Source organism: Homo sapiens, chromosome 19 (genome assembly GCF_000001405.40).
Source record: "Homo sapiens chromosome 19, GRCh38.p14 Primary Assembly".
Lineage (NCBI taxonomy): Eukaryota > Metazoa > Chordata > Mammalia > Primates > Hominidae > Homo > Homo sapiens.
In genome coordinates, this window is record NC_000019.10 from 14075135 (window position 1) to 14091029 (window position 15895).

At 54.3% G+C, this 15895-nt stretch overlaps 2 protein-coding genes across 3 annotated transcripts, besides 7 other annotated features; both read right to left on the bottom strand.

The window, feature by feature from the left end:
• Positions 43-278: a silencer, noted in NCBI's record as "fragment chr19:14185989-14186224 (GRCh37/hg19 assembly coordinates)". NCBI's record gives its function as "represses an EF-1alpha promoter that drives an FKBP-Casp9 reporter gene in an ReSE screen in phorbol 12-myristate 13-acetate-treated (for megakaryocytic differentiation) K562 erythroleukemia cells {active_cell/tissue: K562(+PMA)}" and the evidence as "EXISTENCE:reporter gene assay evidence [ECO:0000049][PMID:32094911]".
• Positions 6327-6616: an enhancer, noted in NCBI's record as "active region_14153". NCBI's record gives its function as "activates an Ori minimal core promoter by ATAC-STARR-seq in GM12878 lymphoblastoid cells {active_cell/tissue: GM12878}" and the evidence as "EXISTENCE:reporter gene assay evidence [ECO:0000049][PMID:35858748]".
• Positions 6490-10649, bottom strand: C19orf67 (chromosome 19 open reading frame 67). Of its 2 annotated transcripts, none has more exons than XM_011528184.3 (6): positions 10159-10649; positions 8599-8740; positions 8371-8471; positions 8103-8288; positions 7335-7469; positions 6490-6874 (listed from the first exon to the last, which is right to left on the bottom strand). In XM_011528184.3, exons 1-6 carry the CDS (start codon positions 10491-10493, stop codon positions 6700-6702), a joined length of 1074 nt encoding a protein of 357 aa, XP_011526486.1. In that variant the 5' UTR covers positions 10494-10649; the 3' UTR covers positions 6490-6699. The 2 variants fall into 2 exon arrangements, with proteins under 2 accessions (XP_011526486.1, NP_001264307.1); NM_001277378.2 differs by having other exon boundaries at positions 8599-8743.
• Positions 6877-6936: an enhancer, noted in NCBI's record as "active region_14154". NCBI's record gives its function as "activates an Ori minimal core promoter by ATAC-STARR-seq in GM12878 lymphoblastoid cells {active_cell/tissue: GM12878}" and the evidence as "EXISTENCE:reporter gene assay evidence [ECO:0000049][PMID:35858748]".
• Positions 10650-12716: 2067 nt separating the features above from the next.
• Positions 12717-15617, bottom strand: SAMD1 (sterile alpha motif domain containing 1). Its single transcript, NM_138352.3, is given in 5 exon segments — positions 12717-13441; positions 13537-13648; positions 13746-13842; positions 13934-14228; positions 14651-15617. Coding segments are annotated over 5 exon segments (1299 nt in total). The 5' UTR covers positions 15287-15617; the 3' UTR covers positions 12717-13282.
• Positions 13469-13978: an enhancer, noted in NCBI's record as "H3K4me1 hESC enhancer chr19:14199415-14199924 (GRCh37/hg19 assembly coordinates)". NCBI's record gives its function as "activates a minimal SCP1, AML or CMV promoter by ChIP-STARR-seq in naive H9 embryonic stem cells {active_cell/tissue: H9 hESC(naive)}" and the evidence as "EXISTENCE:reporter gene assay evidence [ECO:0000049][PMID:30033119]".
• Positions 14623-14672: a silencer, noted in NCBI's record as "silent region_10228". NCBI's record gives its function as "represses an Ori minimal core promoter by ATAC-STARR-seq in GM12878 lymphoblastoid cells {active_cell/tissue: GM12878}" and the evidence as "EXISTENCE:reporter gene assay evidence [ECO:0000049][PMID:35858748]".
• Positions 14973-15232: a silencer, noted in NCBI's record as "silent region_10229". NCBI's record gives its function as "represses an Ori minimal core promoter by ATAC-STARR-seq in GM12878 lymphoblastoid cells {active_cell/tissue: GM12878}" and the evidence as "EXISTENCE:reporter gene assay evidence [ECO:0000049][PMID:35858748]".
• Positions 15563-15782: a silencer, noted in NCBI's record as "silent region_10230". NCBI's record gives its function as "represses an Ori minimal core promoter by ATAC-STARR-seq in GM12878 lymphoblastoid cells {active_cell/tissue: GM12878}" and the evidence as "EXISTENCE:reporter gene assay evidence [ECO:0000049][PMID:35858748]".

Here is a 15895-nt window from a genome sequence, read left to right on the forward strand (position 1 = left end):
AGAAAACCCCAAGAGGTGCGGGCCGGAATGCGGGAATGCGCCCTTACCGCCCTGCTCTGGGGCTGCCCGCCTCCCCCGGCACGGCCAGACACGGCCTGGCCCAGGTCCTACCGCCCCCTGGCGGCCCGGGCGCAAAATGTGGCGCGCTTACCGAGTTCACACCCTCTCGTTTCCAGGCTTCCTCGTCAACATTTATTGGTGCCAACGATGTGCCCTGCGCTGGGCACTGGCTAGACAGTGGTGATAAGAGGCTGTTCCTACCCTGGGAACGTAAACAATAGCTACTAAAAAAAAGAGGTGGTGAGGGTTCAGGCTTCTCAACATTATTAGTTCCTAATGATCACCGTTCTTCTTGACCTCATGGGTCCTCACTATGAGACGTGCTCATTCGTGGTGTTGGGTCAAGAGTTTCTGCTTTCCAAAAGCATCCGTGGCCGGGCGCGGTGGCTCACGCCTGTAATCCCAGCACTTTGGGAGGCCGACGTGGGTGGATCAGTTGAGGCCAGGAATTGGAGACGAGCCTGGCCAACACGGTGAAACCCCGTCTCTACTAAAAATACAAAATATTAGCCGGGCGTGGTGGTGCATGTCTGTAATCCAGCTACTCAGGAGGCTGAGGCATGAGAATCACTTGAACCCAGGAGGCGGAGGTTGCAGTGAGCCAAGAACGGGCCACTGCACTCCAGCCTGGGTGACACAGTGAGACTCTGCCTCAAAAAAATAAAAAAGGCAACTGAAACCTGGCTTTTAAGAGAGAAATCTGCATTTTTATGATTGTGACTATTTAGGAAAAACTTTTTTTTTTTTTTGAGACAGTTTTGCTCTGTCACCCAGGCTGGAGTGCAGTGGTGCGATCTCAGCTCACTACAACCTTTGCCTCCTGGGCTCAAGCAATTCTCCTGCCTAAGCCTCCCGAGTAGCTGGAATTACAGGTGCACATCACCACACCGGCTAATTTATTGTATTTTTAGTAGAGATGGGTTTTCACCATGTTGTCCAGGCTGGTCTTGAACTCCTGGCCTCAAGTGATCTGCCGGCCTCAGCCTCCCAGTTTTTTCTAGGCGCCCTGCCTAGAAAAAACTTTTAAAGTTGTGCGGGAGGAGAGGAAGGAAGGAAGTTGGCAAGCAACAACTGTTTGCAATAGGGCCTGTGGCTGTCAATTTGCAAGCTCTGGTTAATTTCTCTCCCCTGGATGGGGGTTCAAGAGGGTGGGTGAACACCCTAAATTGTCTCTAAAACTGTATCTGCACAGTTAACATTCTGGGACTATTTTTACAGTGTCTTAGAAGTGCACTGAGGGCCTGGCGCGGTGGCTCACGCCTGTAATCCCAGCACTTTGGGAGGCCAAAGCAGGTGGATCACGAGGTCAGGAGATCAAGACCATCCTGGCTAATATGGTGAAACCCCATCTCTACTAAAAATACAAAAAAAAAAAAAAAAATTAGCCGGGCGTGGTGGTGGGTGCCTGTAGTCCCAGCTACTCAGGAGGCTGAGGCAGGAGAATGGCGTGAACCCGGGAGGTGGAGGTTGCAATGACCCGAGATTGCACCACTGCACTCTAGCCTGGGTGACAGAACAAGACTCCATATTAAAAAAAAAAAAAAGAAGTGCACTGAGGACCAGACATGGTGACTCATGCCTGTAATTCTAGCACTTTGGGAGGCCAAGGCAGGAGGATTGCTTGATCCCAGGAGTTCAAGACCAGCTTGGGCAACATAGCGAGACACTGCCCCACCCCATCTCTACAAAAAATTAACCGGGTGTGGTGGCATGTGCCTGTGGTCCCAGCTACTCTGGAAGCTTAGCAGGAGATCGCCTGAGCCTGGGAGGTTGAGGCTACAGTGAGCTATGATTGAACCACTGCACTCCAGCCTGGGTGAGAGTGAGATCTGTAACCTAAGAAAAAAAAAAAATTCACTAAGACCAGAAAAGGGGAGACCCAGGAAGTTTAAATTTAAAAATGTTTTCAATTTTGGAGACAAGTCTTGTTCTGTCACGCAGGCTGCAGTGCAGTGGCATGATCACAGCTTACTGTAACCTTGATCTCCTGGGCTCAAGTGATCCTCCTGCCTCAGCCTCCTGAGTAGCTGGGACTACAGGTGTGAACCACCACACCCAACCCAGGAACATTTTAGAATCGCTGTTTCAACTCTTGGCTCTTGAGATCGTGTCACTGCACTCCAGCCTGGGTGACAGAGCGAAACTCTGTCTTAAACAAAAACAAATTCTTGGCTCTGTCCAACTCTGTCTCTTGTATAGGGGCATCAAATGTCTAGTGAAATCCATATGCATAAAATACAGAGAGGTCATGCTGATACAAGGCTGCACCCAAGAGCAGCTCAGCCCATGAAGGGCTCATCAGCTGACCCCATCCTCAGCCCAGTGACCCCATCCTCAGCATACTTCACTGTGACTGTGGGAGCTATGTAGAGAAAGGCGGAGAGAGCCTGGGAAGGTGGAAAATGGAAACACCTAGAGGCTGGTCTTAATTTCCAGCAGGGGAGCCAAGAACTAAGTATGTCATGAGTGGACAGGGGCCGGGCATGGTGGCTCATGCCTGTAATCCCAGCACTTTGGGAGGCCAAGGTGGGTGGATCACCTGAGGTCAGGAGTTTGAGACCAGCCTGGCCAACATGGTGAAAACCCATCTCCACTAAAAATACAAAAATTAGGCCTGGTGCAGTGGCTCATGCCTGTAATCCCAGCACTTTGGGAGGCTAAGGCGAGTGGATCACCTGAGGTCAGGAGTTCGAGATCAGCCTGGCCAACATGGAGAAACCCCATCTCTACTAAAAATCAAGAAATTAGCCAGGCATGGTGGCGCATGCCTGTAGTCCAAGCTACTCAAGAGACTGAGGCAGGAGAATCACTTGAACCCAGGAGGCAGAGGTTGCAGTGAGCCCTGAGATTGCACCACTGTACTCCAGCCTGGGTGACAGAGCGAGACTCCATCTCCAAAAAAAAAAGAGTGGACAGGACTACTTAAGTATAGATGAGGGATTCTCTAACTTTTCTGAATATTAAACTCAACTGAGGCCCCCATATGTCAAGTAAATCAGAATGGGGGAAGGGCTTGACATCAGTATTTTTTGAAGCTCCCAGGTGATTACAATATACAGCTGAGTCTGAGAACCATGAAGTAAATATAAACCAGCAGTTCTCAATGTAGTGGCACCAGGACCAGCAGTATCCGCAATGCTTGGGGAATTGCTAGACATGCGCCTTCCAGGGGCCAGGTGTGGTGGCTCATGCCTATAATCACAGCACTTTGGGAGGCTGAGGTGGGATAATTGCTTGAGTCTGGGAGTTCAAGACCAGTGTGGGCAATATAGCAAGACAAAGTCTCTACCAAAAAAAAAAAAGAGAGAGAGAAAAAAAAGCACTTTCTTGGGTCTCATCCCAGACTTAATGATCAAACTCTCCATGTGATTCTGATGCACACTAGGAAGTTTGAGAATCAAGGGTGTAGAAAGCTGCTCAGCAACAGGACCCAGGAAACAAAGCTTGTTTCCTTCCCCTTCCAGTACTGTACTGTCACCACCCACCCGAAACCCTGTCTTAAGAGACAGTGGATTTGACTTAAAGGAGACCGTCTAGAGCTGCTTGTGGCTAGTCTGAATTGAGATATGTTGTAAATGTGAAATGCTAGATTTCTTTTCCTTTTTTTTTTTTTTTTTTTTTTTGAGATGGAGTCTTGCTCTTGTTGCCCAGGCTGGAGTGCAATGGCACGATCTCGGCTCACTGCAACCTCCATCTCCTGGGCTCAAGCGGTTCTCCTGCCTCAGCCTCCAGAGTAGCTGAGATTACCAGCACCTGCCACCATGCCCGGCTAATTTTTGTAGTTTTAGTAGAGATGGGGTTTCGCCATGTTGGCCAGGCTGGTCTCAAACTCCTGACCTCATGATCTGCCTGCCTCGGCCTCCCAAAGTGCTGGGATTACAGGTGTGAGCCACTGCATCTGGCTTTTTTTTTTTTTTTTCAGATGGAGTCTCGCTCTGTTGCGCAGGCTGGAGTGTAGTGGTGCGATCTCGGCTCACTGCAACCTCCATCTCCCAGATTTAAGCGAGTCTCCTGGCTCAGCCTCTTGAATAGCTGGGATCACAGGCGCCCACCACCACACCCACCTTTTTTTTTTTTGTTTTTTTTTTTTGCATTTTTAGTAGAGACAGGATTTTGCCATGTTGGCCAGGCTGGTCTCGAACTCGTGACCTCAAGTGACCCACCTGTCTCGGCCTCCCAAAGTGCTGGGATTATGGGCATGAGCCACCATGTCCGGCCAAGATTTCTAAGACAGTACAAAAAAGGAAAATACCTCAATAATTTTTTTACATGGATTATACATTGAAATAATATTTTGGGTATAACAGGTTAAATAAAATATCACGAAAATGAATCTAACCTCTTAATTTTTTATTTTTTATTTTTTTTTGAGACGGAGTCTCGCTGTGTCACCCAGGCTGGAATGCAGTGGTGCGATCTCGGCTCACTGCAAGATCCACCTCCCGGGTTCACGCCATTCTCCTGCCTCAGCCTCCCGAATGGCTGGGACTACAGGCGCCTGCCACCACGCCCGGCTAATTTTTTGTATTTTTAGTAGAGACGGGGTTTCACCGTGTTAGCCAGGATGGTCTCAATCTCCTGACCTCGTGATCCGCCTGCCTCAGCTTCCCAAAGTGCTGGGATTATAGGCATGAGCCACGGCGCCTGGCCCTAACCTCTTAATTTTTTTATGTGGTTACTAGAAAATTTGAAACTACATACGTGATTTGCGTTTGCAGCTCACTTGATATTTCCATTGGACCCCACGAGTCTAAAGAATCTTAAAGGCCGGGCAGGGTGGCTCATGCCTGTAATCCCAGCACTTTGGGAGGCCGAAGCGGGAGGATAGCTTAAGCCAGGAGTTCGAGACCAGCCTGGTCAACATAGGAAGAACCCCCCCCTTCTCTACAATAATAATAATAATATAATAATAATAATAAAATAGGGGCATCGTCGCTGCCTGTACTCCCAGCTGCTTAGGAGGCCGAAGTGGGAGGATCACTTGAACCCAGGAGTTAGAGTTTGCAGAAGTTGGAGGTTCCAGGATTGCGCCATTGCACTCCAGCCTGGGTGACAGAGCAAGACCCTTCCCTCCCCCCGAAAAACATCTTAGAGCCACAGGAAAACTCACAGGGACTCCCTCAAAGCGGTATCAGGGAGCATCAGGATTTCCTTGATGTCATTCAGACCACAGCTGTGGACTAAAAAACATCCTTGATGCAGTCAGAAATTGTCACCAGAAATACCCATGGAAGAGCAATAGTGGCCGGGCGCGGTGGCTCACGCCTGTAATCCCAGCACTTTGGGAGGCAGAGGCGAGCGGATCACCTGAGGTCAGGAGTTGGAGACCAGCCTGGCCAACATGGCGAAACCCCGTCTCTACTAGAAATACAAAAACTAGCTGGGCCTGGTGGCATCAGCCTGTAATCCCAGCTACTCGTGGGGCTGAGGCAAGAAAATCACTTGAGCCTGGGAAGCGGAGGTTGCAGTGAGCCGAGATCATGCCATTGTACTCCAGCCTGGGCGACAAGAGCGAAACTAGTGTTGGCATTCAATATTGATTCATTTCACCTCTAACGTCCTTTTTTATCATCTGGAAATGGAGGCTAATACTATGTGCCAGGGACTGGAAGGTAGGTGCTTTGCTCAAAATCATAAATAAGGGCAGGGCTCTGGGTGTCTCCTCTATGAAAATGCTGCCGGGGGCGGGGGGAGGGGAGGGGAGGGGAGGAGAACCAAAAGGGTCCCTCTTGGATTAAAGGGGTATAACCCGCAGCTGAGTGACACCTGGCTCAGGAGGACACCCTTCCTCCTTGCAACGGGCCACAAGTACCGGGTTGCGATCACAAGTACCCGGTTCAGGTCCAAGGTCCGCCACTTGCTCGCAGGAGCTTTGAGCAGGTGAGTTCATTTCTCTCAGCCAGGGTCTCCTCTCCAGTCCGAGATTAGAGAGAGGCTGAGAGATCCTAAGCTTGGATACCGTAGGGCTCTCCCACCTTGTCCGCACCCCGGATACCCCAAGAAAGACGACGACCTGTCCGGCCCCCAAGTCCCAAAAGCTGGAAGAGAAAAAAAAAGTCTAACTCGGGCCCTTAGGAAACTGATCGAGGGCACTTTCCTGGGGCGCGTCGGGAAAAGTAGTCTTCTACGCTAAAATAAATAACTTCCGGGTCAAAATATGGGAGTGGGCGTAGCCTTAAGTCTCTTCCTCCAGTGGACGTTGAATTTCCCCGGTACCCTAAACTTGCAGTTTTCTGGGTTCCGGTGTTGACGGGCACCACTTCCCTTTTTGCTTCATGTGCGCCTATGCGCATGCGCCAAACTCTCGTCCGCCTATTGGCGAATTCCAGGCTTCTTTCAAAAGACTACATTTCCCAGAAGGCCACGCGAGTGGGTGGGGCAATCCCCCGGGGGAGGGGCGCGGCATTCGCAGCGGACGCTGAGCCTGTGACCTCTTTCTTTCTTTTATTTAACACAAAACTGACGTGTCCGCATTCAGGGCCCCACGGCCAAGCCGGACTCGGTGCAGACAGGTCAGCTCGGCCTGGCCCTTTGGAAGGCGAGGCCGGGCTGCACTGCGAGAACGAGTGAGCCCCTCCCCTGCCCCCTATTCTGGAGTTTGGAACTGTCAAGTTCCAGCTCCTACCCTCTTCCCCAGGTTCAAGACCCCTGCGCTGCCCACCCCGCAGGCCCGGCTGCGCTCGGAGGCCGGGCCTGGCCTGCCTGGCCCGTGAGGATCTGCACCAGCAGGTCGGTGGCCAGCGTGGGCGTGGGCTCCTCGAAGCCGATGGTCAGCAGCTGCTGGTAGTCCCCAAGCGGCTGCGGGCACAAAATCCTGGGGTGGGGGGGCCAGGGATAGACAGGCCTGGACTTGAGTGCCCCCTGCCCCTCGGGAGTCCCTCCCTTTGAGTGAGAGGCTCAGGTGAAAGAGGCTTTGTTTCAGCTGCGGGTGGGAAAAACCCCCGGGGGAAACTTGTTTCCTTGTTGATCAGAGACTTAGTAATGGCTCCTAGAGGCTGAATAACTGGTCCTGACCTGTCCATTCGCTCTGCTAGCTGTGTGTCCTTGGGCAGGTAACAACTTCTCTGAGCACCCTGTTTTCTTTGTTAAATGGGGCCAATAGCATAGATCTCCATGGGTTGTTACTGGGGTCTGCATGAAGTGCTTTTCAGGGCACAATAAAATGCTATCACTACTAAGGGAAGCAAAGTGTTTGGGAAGGTGGATTGTCTTTGGTGGGGTTCTGCCTCCCCCTCCAGCTCCCAGGCCCACGTTGCTATTGCCCTAGCTCCTACCATGAATAAAGGTCATCCTCGGCTGGTCCTAGGGGCACCCATCGGCCGATGGACCACAGCTTCTGGATCTGTGGGCACGAATTGGCTGGACTCTGGCCTGTGTCTTCCCAAGTATCTCGATAGCACAGAAAGTAGCTAGGAGGGGAGGGAGCTGTAATTAGAAGTGATCAGCTTCCTAGCTACTTCTGTTGAGGGCTTTAATTTTGGAGTTGAGGTGGGAACTCATCAGAAGTTGCCCTGAAGTTCTCAGGTAGGAATGTGACTCCAAGGCCTTTTCTCCCTGCCAGCCTACTTTTAAGATGAGAACTTTTATTTTGGTGGGAGGGTGGGTTTTAAGAAAATAGAGGTAGCCTTTCAAAAGCCTTTAGTTTCCTGGTTCACTTTTTTTTTTTTTTAAGAGACAGATTATTGCTTCCACTCAGGGTGGAGTGCAGTGGCACAATCACAGCTCACCGTAGCCTTGATTCCTGGGCTCAAGTGCTCCTCCTGCCTAAGCCTCCCAAGTAGCTGGGACTACAGGTGCCAGCCATCACGCCTGGCGAATTTCTTTGTTGTTGAGACAGGGTCTTGCCATCTTGCCCAGGCTGATCTCAAACTCTTGAGCTCAAGTGATCCTCCTGCCTCGGCCTCCCAAAGTGTTGGGATTACAGGCGTGAGCCACTGCCTCGGGCCCTGGCTCACTTTTCACTTTGCTGGTGACGGTTTGGAGGGTCATATTGGCATTCATCATAGAAAGGGGAGGACTTTGATTTGGGTAAGAGGACTTACTAATCCACAAGGGAATCTTGTCCCCGACCAGGGGCCTCTGGGGTGGCTTCCAGGTGCCAGCGCATCTTCTTATAGAGGTAGCGGGGGAAGCGGCTGGCAGTGTAGGCGGTTGGGGCACAGTATCTGAAGATGGAGACCTCATGGGACAGGCTGATGGAGAACCTCCCGCAAAAGAAACAGGAGATGCTGGCGAGACATGAGAGAATGGAGGGGTGAGGCTGGGCCTTGGACTCCTTCATCCCCCCATCTGAGTCTCCTACCATTTTACCTAAGGGGGTTCATCTCCTCCAGGTCCACGAACCCAAAGGAAGCGTACATGAGGACCAGCTGTTCCAGGCGCAGGGTCAGCTGTTGGGAGATCTCTAACAGCTGCATACAAGAGGGGGGTACAGTGAGATCAGCTGGCCTGCGAGGAGTGGGCCTCCCCCTCCACCATCCCCACAGGCTCAGAGCTGCGAGAAGAAAGGGGCGTGGGGTCTAAGAAACCTCCACACACCCCCTTTCGGACCAGCTCCTGCAGGGGTCCATAGATGGGGGGTATGCTTCTCGCGGCTGCCTCCAGGTACAGGAAGTAGGGCTCACACATCTGTAAGAAGGTGGGCATGGCCTTGGCCAGCTGCTCCTTCTGTACTTGGTCTCTGCTGAAGGAAGAAGGGGGCCTTTGCCTGGAATCCCTCACAACCCCTCCCCACCCCGCAGTTTTCCCCATTCTACTCAATCCCAACCTGTATCCCTGGCTTTGACCCATTAGAAAAGCCCCCAGTTTCAGGTCTTTTCTGAACATCTTTCTGGTTTACCTGCATCAAACCCATTTGGAACACTTGTTAAAGTGCTGACACCTGAGTCTCACAACACTTAGGACCCAGAGCTTCCTGCAGGGTCTGGGCGCAGTGGCTCACGCCTGCAATCCTAGAGTTTTGGGAGGCTGAGGCTGGAGGATTGCTTGAGGCCAGGAGTTCCAGACAAGCCTAGGCAACATAGCAAGAACCCATCTCTACACAAAAATAATTAGCTGGGCATGGTGGCACCTGTAGTCCCAGTTACCCAGGAGGTGGAGGTGGGAAGATTGCTTGAGACCAGGAGTTCGAGGGTGCAGTGAGCTATGACTGCCCCACTGCACTCCAGCTTGGGTGACAGAGCGAGACCCTGTCTCATTAAAAAAAAAAAAACAGCCTCATGAGAATCCCTCGAACCTGGGAGGCGGAGGTTGCAGTGAGCTGAGTTCGCCCCACTGCACTCCAGCCTAGGTGACAGAGCAAGACTCCATTTCAAAAAAACACATAACAACAAAACAAAACAAAAAAACCCAGCCTCGGGTAGGCGCGGTGGCTCACGTCTGTAATTCCAGCACTTTGGGAGGCCAAGGCGGGTGGATCATGAGGTCAGGAGCTCAAGACCAGTCTGGCCAAGATGGTGAAACTCTGTCTCTACTAAGAAAAGAAAAAAATTAGCCGGGCAACACATGTTGGTGGGCGCCTGTAATCCCAGCTACTCGGGAGGCTGAGGCAGAGAATTGCTTCAATCCGGGAGGCGGAGGTTGCAGTGAGCTGAGATTGCACCACTGCACTCCAGCCTGGGCGACAGAGTGAGACTCCATCTCAAAAACAAACACGCAAACAAAACCCAACCCAGCCTCCTAGGAAATTCCAATGGACACTGAAATTGAGAGTCACAGGGAAACCTGGTCTGGGAATCACATTATCCTTTGGAGTCTCAAACTGATGTCCTGCAGGCCAAGTTTGGCTCAGGTGGGTCTTGTTTAGCCAGCACAGGGCTCAAAATGTAAGACAGCACTTAAAAACTGGGAGAAAAAGTCCTAGAGACTTGACAACCCCAGGCCCACACTGCCACGACAGTAATAGCAGCCATCCCCTACCCGCAATTCTACAGTCTTCCTCATTCTCTTAAACTGGATTCTAATATGCTAGCTTCTTCCACTGTCTCCCTCTGGCTCCTAGCGCTTGTAATTTTGCGACCCTGGTGTGTGTCACCCATCCTGTCGCCTCCCCTCCAAGTCTCCTTACCCATGGGGACCTGGGACCCTGTCCAGCATCACCTGTAGAGCAAGTAGCTCTGGAAATCATCTGCCTTCTTCAGTAGGTAGCGCAGCTGTTGGGTGATGGGGCTGAACAAAGTGTCCAGGGATAGGCGGGGAGGTGCTGGCCCAGGCCGGGGGACCAGAGGTTTGGGGGAAGACGTGGAGGCCCGGGCCTCAGCCAGCCGCCCCTCGGCATCTTCAGGATCCGGCTCAGATGGGTTCCCAGGCCTGCCAGGGGGCGTCGACCTGGAGGGGTCTCCGCAGGGCGGCGTCCCAGGTTCCAAGGCGTCTGGAGGCGGTGTTTCTCCAGGGTCCAGGGGGAGCGACCCCTCGAACCACTGCTCTGTAGCCATGGTAGGGCCGGGGGGCGGGAACCTGAGCTCTTTAAGCTTCCGCTGCTGCTCAGGTTGGCCGCGGGTTCGACCCCGCCCCGGGAGCCTCCGACTGGCCCCTGCCTTGACCTCTCCACCGGAGCCGCGCCGCCGCGCCGGGGGCCGTTCGCCTCTTTTGAATTTCAACACGCGGGAGGGGCGCGCCTCTCCAGTCCGCGCGCCTGCGGCCCCCTACCCCTGCACACGCGCCGCACGCGCTCCAGGAACCTGGCGGTGGGGAGGGACCCGCCTAGGGAGGTGGCCTCTGGCCGTGTCCTGGGGGTGTGGCTAGGGCCGGGACCTTTATCTCTCGAGGTGGATTCCTAGAGTGGAGGGGTCTCTAAACGTGTCTCCAACCCCTCAACCCGGCACAGGTATATGGAATGAGGCCGCCCAGGCCCCAGCCCCTCACTCCCAGAACGCTTTTTGTTGTTAAAACATTTTTTTAATTTAAAATTTTTAGAGATGGGGGCCCATGTTGCCCAGGTTGGTCTCAAACTCCTGGACTCAAGCGATCCTCCCGTGTCGGTCTCCTAAAGTGCCCAGCCTCTTTTTTTCTTTAAAAACAAAAAACAACTCTAATGAGTTGAGAAACTGCCTTAGAACTTAGTAGGGACTACTTAGAACTTAGTAGGGACTTTGGATGTAGTAACTCTGGCGACTACTACTAACAATAATTTTTAAAAATCTTCAGGCTGGACTTGGTGGCTCATGTCTGTAATCCTGACACTTTAGGAGGCTGAAGCGGGAGGACTGCTTGAGGCCAGGAGTTCAAGACCAGCCTAAGCCACATAGCAAGACCCTGTCTATACAAAAACCAAAATATTAGTTGGGTGTTGTCTGAGGCATGAGAATCACTTGTACCCAAAAGTTCGAGGCTGTCACCACAGTTATGATTGCACCAGTACACTCTAGCCTGAGTGACAGAGCAAGACTCTGTCTTGAAACAAAATCTTCACTTGGAAATCTTCTATCTCATGGTCTCATCTGATGGCCCAGAAGGAATTTTCTGTTGTTTTAATGAAGAGGACCATGAGGTCTGGAGACACTACTATGGTCCAAGAACAGATCCCTGCCCCAATATTTGTAGTGGATTCTTTGCAGTAGACAAAGGCTGACAGGTTTATAGTTTTTAATGTACATTATGTCAAATACGCTAATTATATTTAAAGACTCTGAGTGAAGAACTCAGACAGGTGTCAGATGCCACCCTGTGTGACCCGGGGCAGACAGCATCTCTGTGCCGGGCCAGCTGCCTCTTCTGTAAGGTGGGATTTTATGAGTTTTTTGTCTTATGGGGACTTGGGAGGACAGTTGAGGAAATGCTTATAAACCCAAGGACTTAACTGCTAGCCATTCAACAATATTTGAGGCCAGGCATGGTGGCTCACGCTTGTAATCCCAGGCAGAATTGCTTGGCTGGGAGTTCGAGGCCAACCTGGCCAACAAAGTGCATACCCTCATCTCCACACACACACAAAGATTTTTTTTTGAGACAGAGTCTCACTTTGTCACCCAGGCTGGAGTGCAGTGGCACGATCTTGGCTCACTGCACCCTCCGCCTCCCAGGTGTAAGCAATCCTCTGCCTCAGCCTCCTGAATAGCTAGGATTACAGGCACCCACCACCACGCCCAGCTAATTTTTTTTTATATTTTTAGTAGAGACAGGGTTTCATCATCTTGGCCAGGCTGATCTTGAACTCCTGACCTCATGATCCACCCACCTCGGCCTCCCAAAGTGCTGGGATTACAGGCATGAGCCACTGTGCCCGGACAAAAATTTTTAAAAGTTAGCCCGGCATGGCAGAGTGCACCTGTAGTCCCAGCTACTCAGGAGGCTGAGGTGGGAGGATCACTTCAGCCCAGGAGTTTGAGGCTACAATGAGCTATGATAGCACCACTGCACTCCAGCCTGGGTGAAAGAATGAAACCTGTCTAAACGAAAAACAAAAATTGAGCACCTGCTGTGTGCCTAGCTCTGTTCTGGACACGGACACGGTGAGATTACAGAAGAAAAAAAAGCAAATATTCCCACCTTCCTGGAGCAATTATTGTTATACATGGCTGTGAGGCAGCTATAATTCATTGTTTCTGTTTTTCTCCCTCCCCAAACAATTCTGTCCTAACCTGAGGCTCTCTTAGGAGGCTCTTTAGTGCCCTCTCCCCACCCCATTCATAAAATGGACTCCGTGGCTTTTTTTTCCCTTTTTCTTTTTTTAAAATTTTATTTAAAAAACCTTCGGTGCAATATTAAAAAGCAATACAGCCAGCTGGAGCGACAATCAACAGAAAGAAAAGAGGGAGGAGAGAAAAGGCCCGAGGAACCCCAACCCAGCTAGTCCCCTAGGGGCTGGAGGCCAGGGGCAGACTGAGAAGGGGGGCATGGGTGGTAGGGGAGGGAGGAAAGACCACCCACCAAAATAAACAGGCAGATCCAAACATTTATACAGGAAACATCTGGCTGAACGGAAGAGGATCTTGGGGAGATGAGAAGCCCCCCACATTTCATTTTTTTTTTCCTAAAATGTCCTGGACTGGGTGGGGAGGGTCAGCCACCTGGGGTTTAAGGAGCAATCCCCTCCCCACACCGACGTGCTGAGGAGCAGATGTGTGTGAGACAGACACAAGGGGCAAAGATAAGGACAAGAGGGTGCCCTCTCCTTGGAATCTGTTATGAGGGCTGAGGGTGTCCCCGTCCAGCTCCTGGACTCTGGGGGATCTTGGGTGAGATGGGGGCCGGAATGGGCTGGGGCAGGGGTGAGGCTGGGCGCTCAGCCTAAGAAGCCATCGGGGTCATCATCCTCAAAGTGGCCTTGCTGAAGCACCTTGATGTGGTGCTCGTAGATTTTCAGGGCTGGCCCGAGGCGGATGGACAGGCCGGTGAGCACATCTGTGCGCTGCATGAGCAGCAAAGATTTGCCATCAATTTCCTGGGTGGGACAGGAACAGAGAGAGCCGGGATCAGGGCACATCCCAGGGAGGCCCTCTGTGTCTGTCAGTGTGTAGTCCTGGGCTGGAAACTCACCTGCTCTTGGAAAGCTGTCGCCTGCTCCGGGAATCCAGCCTCAGTAAAATATTCGACGACATCCATCACGGTCCACTCGACGGGATCAGATGGCTTCTCTTTGCGCCCGGGACTGCATCAAAACAAACAGACACCAGTGAACACGGATGTCTCTCTGGCTGTACCACACACCTGAGCAGCACCCCCATGTCTCCAATACCCCAACTTACGGACAGCCAAAGGGGGTCCCGTCGGCCCCAGGTAGGGCTGGTTTGCCTGGGGGCAAAGGCACGGGGGACGGGGAGTCTGGCCCGGTGGCAACAGAAGCTGGGAAGGAAAAAAACACCTGTCTTTGGCTTTGTCTTCGGGCTGAGTTCCTCTCCACCTAGCACTCTTCCCCACCCAGAGGGATCCTTACCTGTTCCCCCTTCCTTGTTCATGGCTGCCATGGAGAACACCTGGCGGGTGCCGCTGCCCGGGGCTGGCCCCCGCCCTTCATCCTGGCCCTGGTGCGGTCCGCAGGGGGTCCACTCCTTGACCCTCTCCTTGGCACTCTGAGGTCCCCGCTCGCCGTTAAGCTGGTGGTGCTGGGCACCTGCAGGACGGTCACTCTCGGGCACTTCAGAGCCCTCTGACACATCATCTTCTTCATCTTCATCTTCATCATCATCTTCTTCCTCTTCTTTCTCAAGTACTCGCTCTTCTCCACCTCTCTGGAGCCGAGGAGAGAAGCATGCAAAATTAGTAGCTGTTCTAATCCCAGACCCTGACTGTGGCGTCCGGGCGGTGGGGAGGAGGAACCGATTCCACCTTTAAGAACAATACGGACTAACTTTTACGCATTCACTCCGTGCCAGGCTCTGTGTTAACTAAAGCCCTCGACAACCAAATCTTACTAAACTCGCTCAACAACCCCAAGGGGTCGCTACTGTTATTAAACCGCGTTTACAGCGGAGGAAACTGAGGCTCCGGGAGATTCAATCACTTGCCAAGGTCACCACGCACCGAGCCCGCAGGAAACGCGCGCAAAGCCCCAGCCACCCGCCACCCAGTTCCTCCCGGGACTCGCGCCCCCGCCACCAACTTCGCCCGCACCTGCCCACCGCGCGGCGCCCCCGCTCCCCGGCGCGCTCACCTTGCTGCGAGACGGGCGGGCGCTGGCGGCCGGCGGCGCCCGTCCGGGCCTGTCCCCGCGGGGCAGCGCAAGCGCTCCGAGACGGGTGCGCTCCAGACGGCCTCGAGCCGCCGCCTCCTCCTCCAGCAGCCCCTGCACGCGGCCGCGGGTTAGGCGACCGCCGGCGCCGCCGCTGCCCCCGAGGTAGCGCACGACTTCCCGCAGGCTCACGGGCCGCGCCGCGCCGCCGGCCCGCACCGCGCCCCCCTCCGGCGGCGGCTGTGGCTGCGGCGGCGGCGGCTGCTGCTGCTGTGGCGGCGCCGGCGGGGCCGGCGGGGTGGCTCCGCGCCGGGGCGGCTGGACGCGCGCCGCGTTGCGGTACGAGATGCTCCCCTTGTAGCTGACCCGGAGCACGGCGCGCTGCTGGATCAGTTTCTCGAGCTCGGCGCGCGTGCGCTCCGGCTCCGGGCCGTGCCGCCGCCGCACCATCCGGCAGATGCGCTCCAGGTCCGGCCGCGCCTTGCGCGAGCGCAGCGAGTCGATGGTGTCCAGGATCCACTCTTGGTAGTGCGGGGAAGCGGCGGACGACGAGGCGGCGGCCGCCGTGGTGGCGGCCGCCGCCGTCTCCGGCGGGGGTAGGGCCGGGGGCCCCGCCATGCCTCCCGCCCGGCCCGGCTGCACCGTGCGCGCTGCCTCCCTCCCAGCGCGGCGCCCCCCTCCCCGGCTCCCCTCCCTCCGCCGCTGCCCGCCTCCTCCGCCTCCCCCCCCGGGGGGCGCAGCGCCTCGGCGGAGCGGCGGCGGCGCTGCTGTTTCTTTGCAAAAAAAAAAAAAAAAAAAAGAGAGAGAGAGGGAGAGAGAGAGAGAGGAAAAAACAGTGAGAGAGAAAGAAAAGAGAGAAAAAAATATGCACACACTCACTCACTCGCACGCACGCACACACAGACCCGCTTCTGCTGGGCGCGCGCGGGGCCGGGGATGCGAGGGGGAGGAGGGGAGCGCGGCGCGGCCGGCCCCTCCCCGCCGCCGCCGCCGCCGCACGCGCGCCCTGCGCCCGGGACACTCCGGCCCCCCTTCCTTCCCTCCCTCCCTCCTCCCCGCCGCCCGCCTTCCTCCCTCCCACCCCCACGCGCCCGCTTTTAAGGTGGAGCCCGGGCCCCCCGCCCGCCCCCTTTACCCTGCGCTCTCGCTCACTCCGGCTCGCTCCGGCCCCCCCTTACAACTCCCGCGCGCTTTTTAAGGAGGCGCCGCGGAGTTGGCCCGGGGCGG

Excerpts from the sequence above, each read along its gene's own strand:
- C19orf67 (NM_001277378.2), bottom strand. The coding sequence starts at position 10,493 with ATGGCTACAGAGCAGTGGTTCGAGGGGTCGCTCCCCCTGGACCCTGGA. Across the intron at positions 8,744-10,158 it reads CAGAGCTACTTGCTCTACAG|CAGAGACCAAGTACAGAAGG; the intron begins GTGATGCTGGAC and ends TTCTTCCTTCAG. Across the intron at positions 8,472-8,598 it reads AGGAGCTGGTCCGAAAGGGG|CTGTTAGAGATCTCCCAACA; the intron begins GTGTGTGGAGGT and ends TCTTGTATGCAG.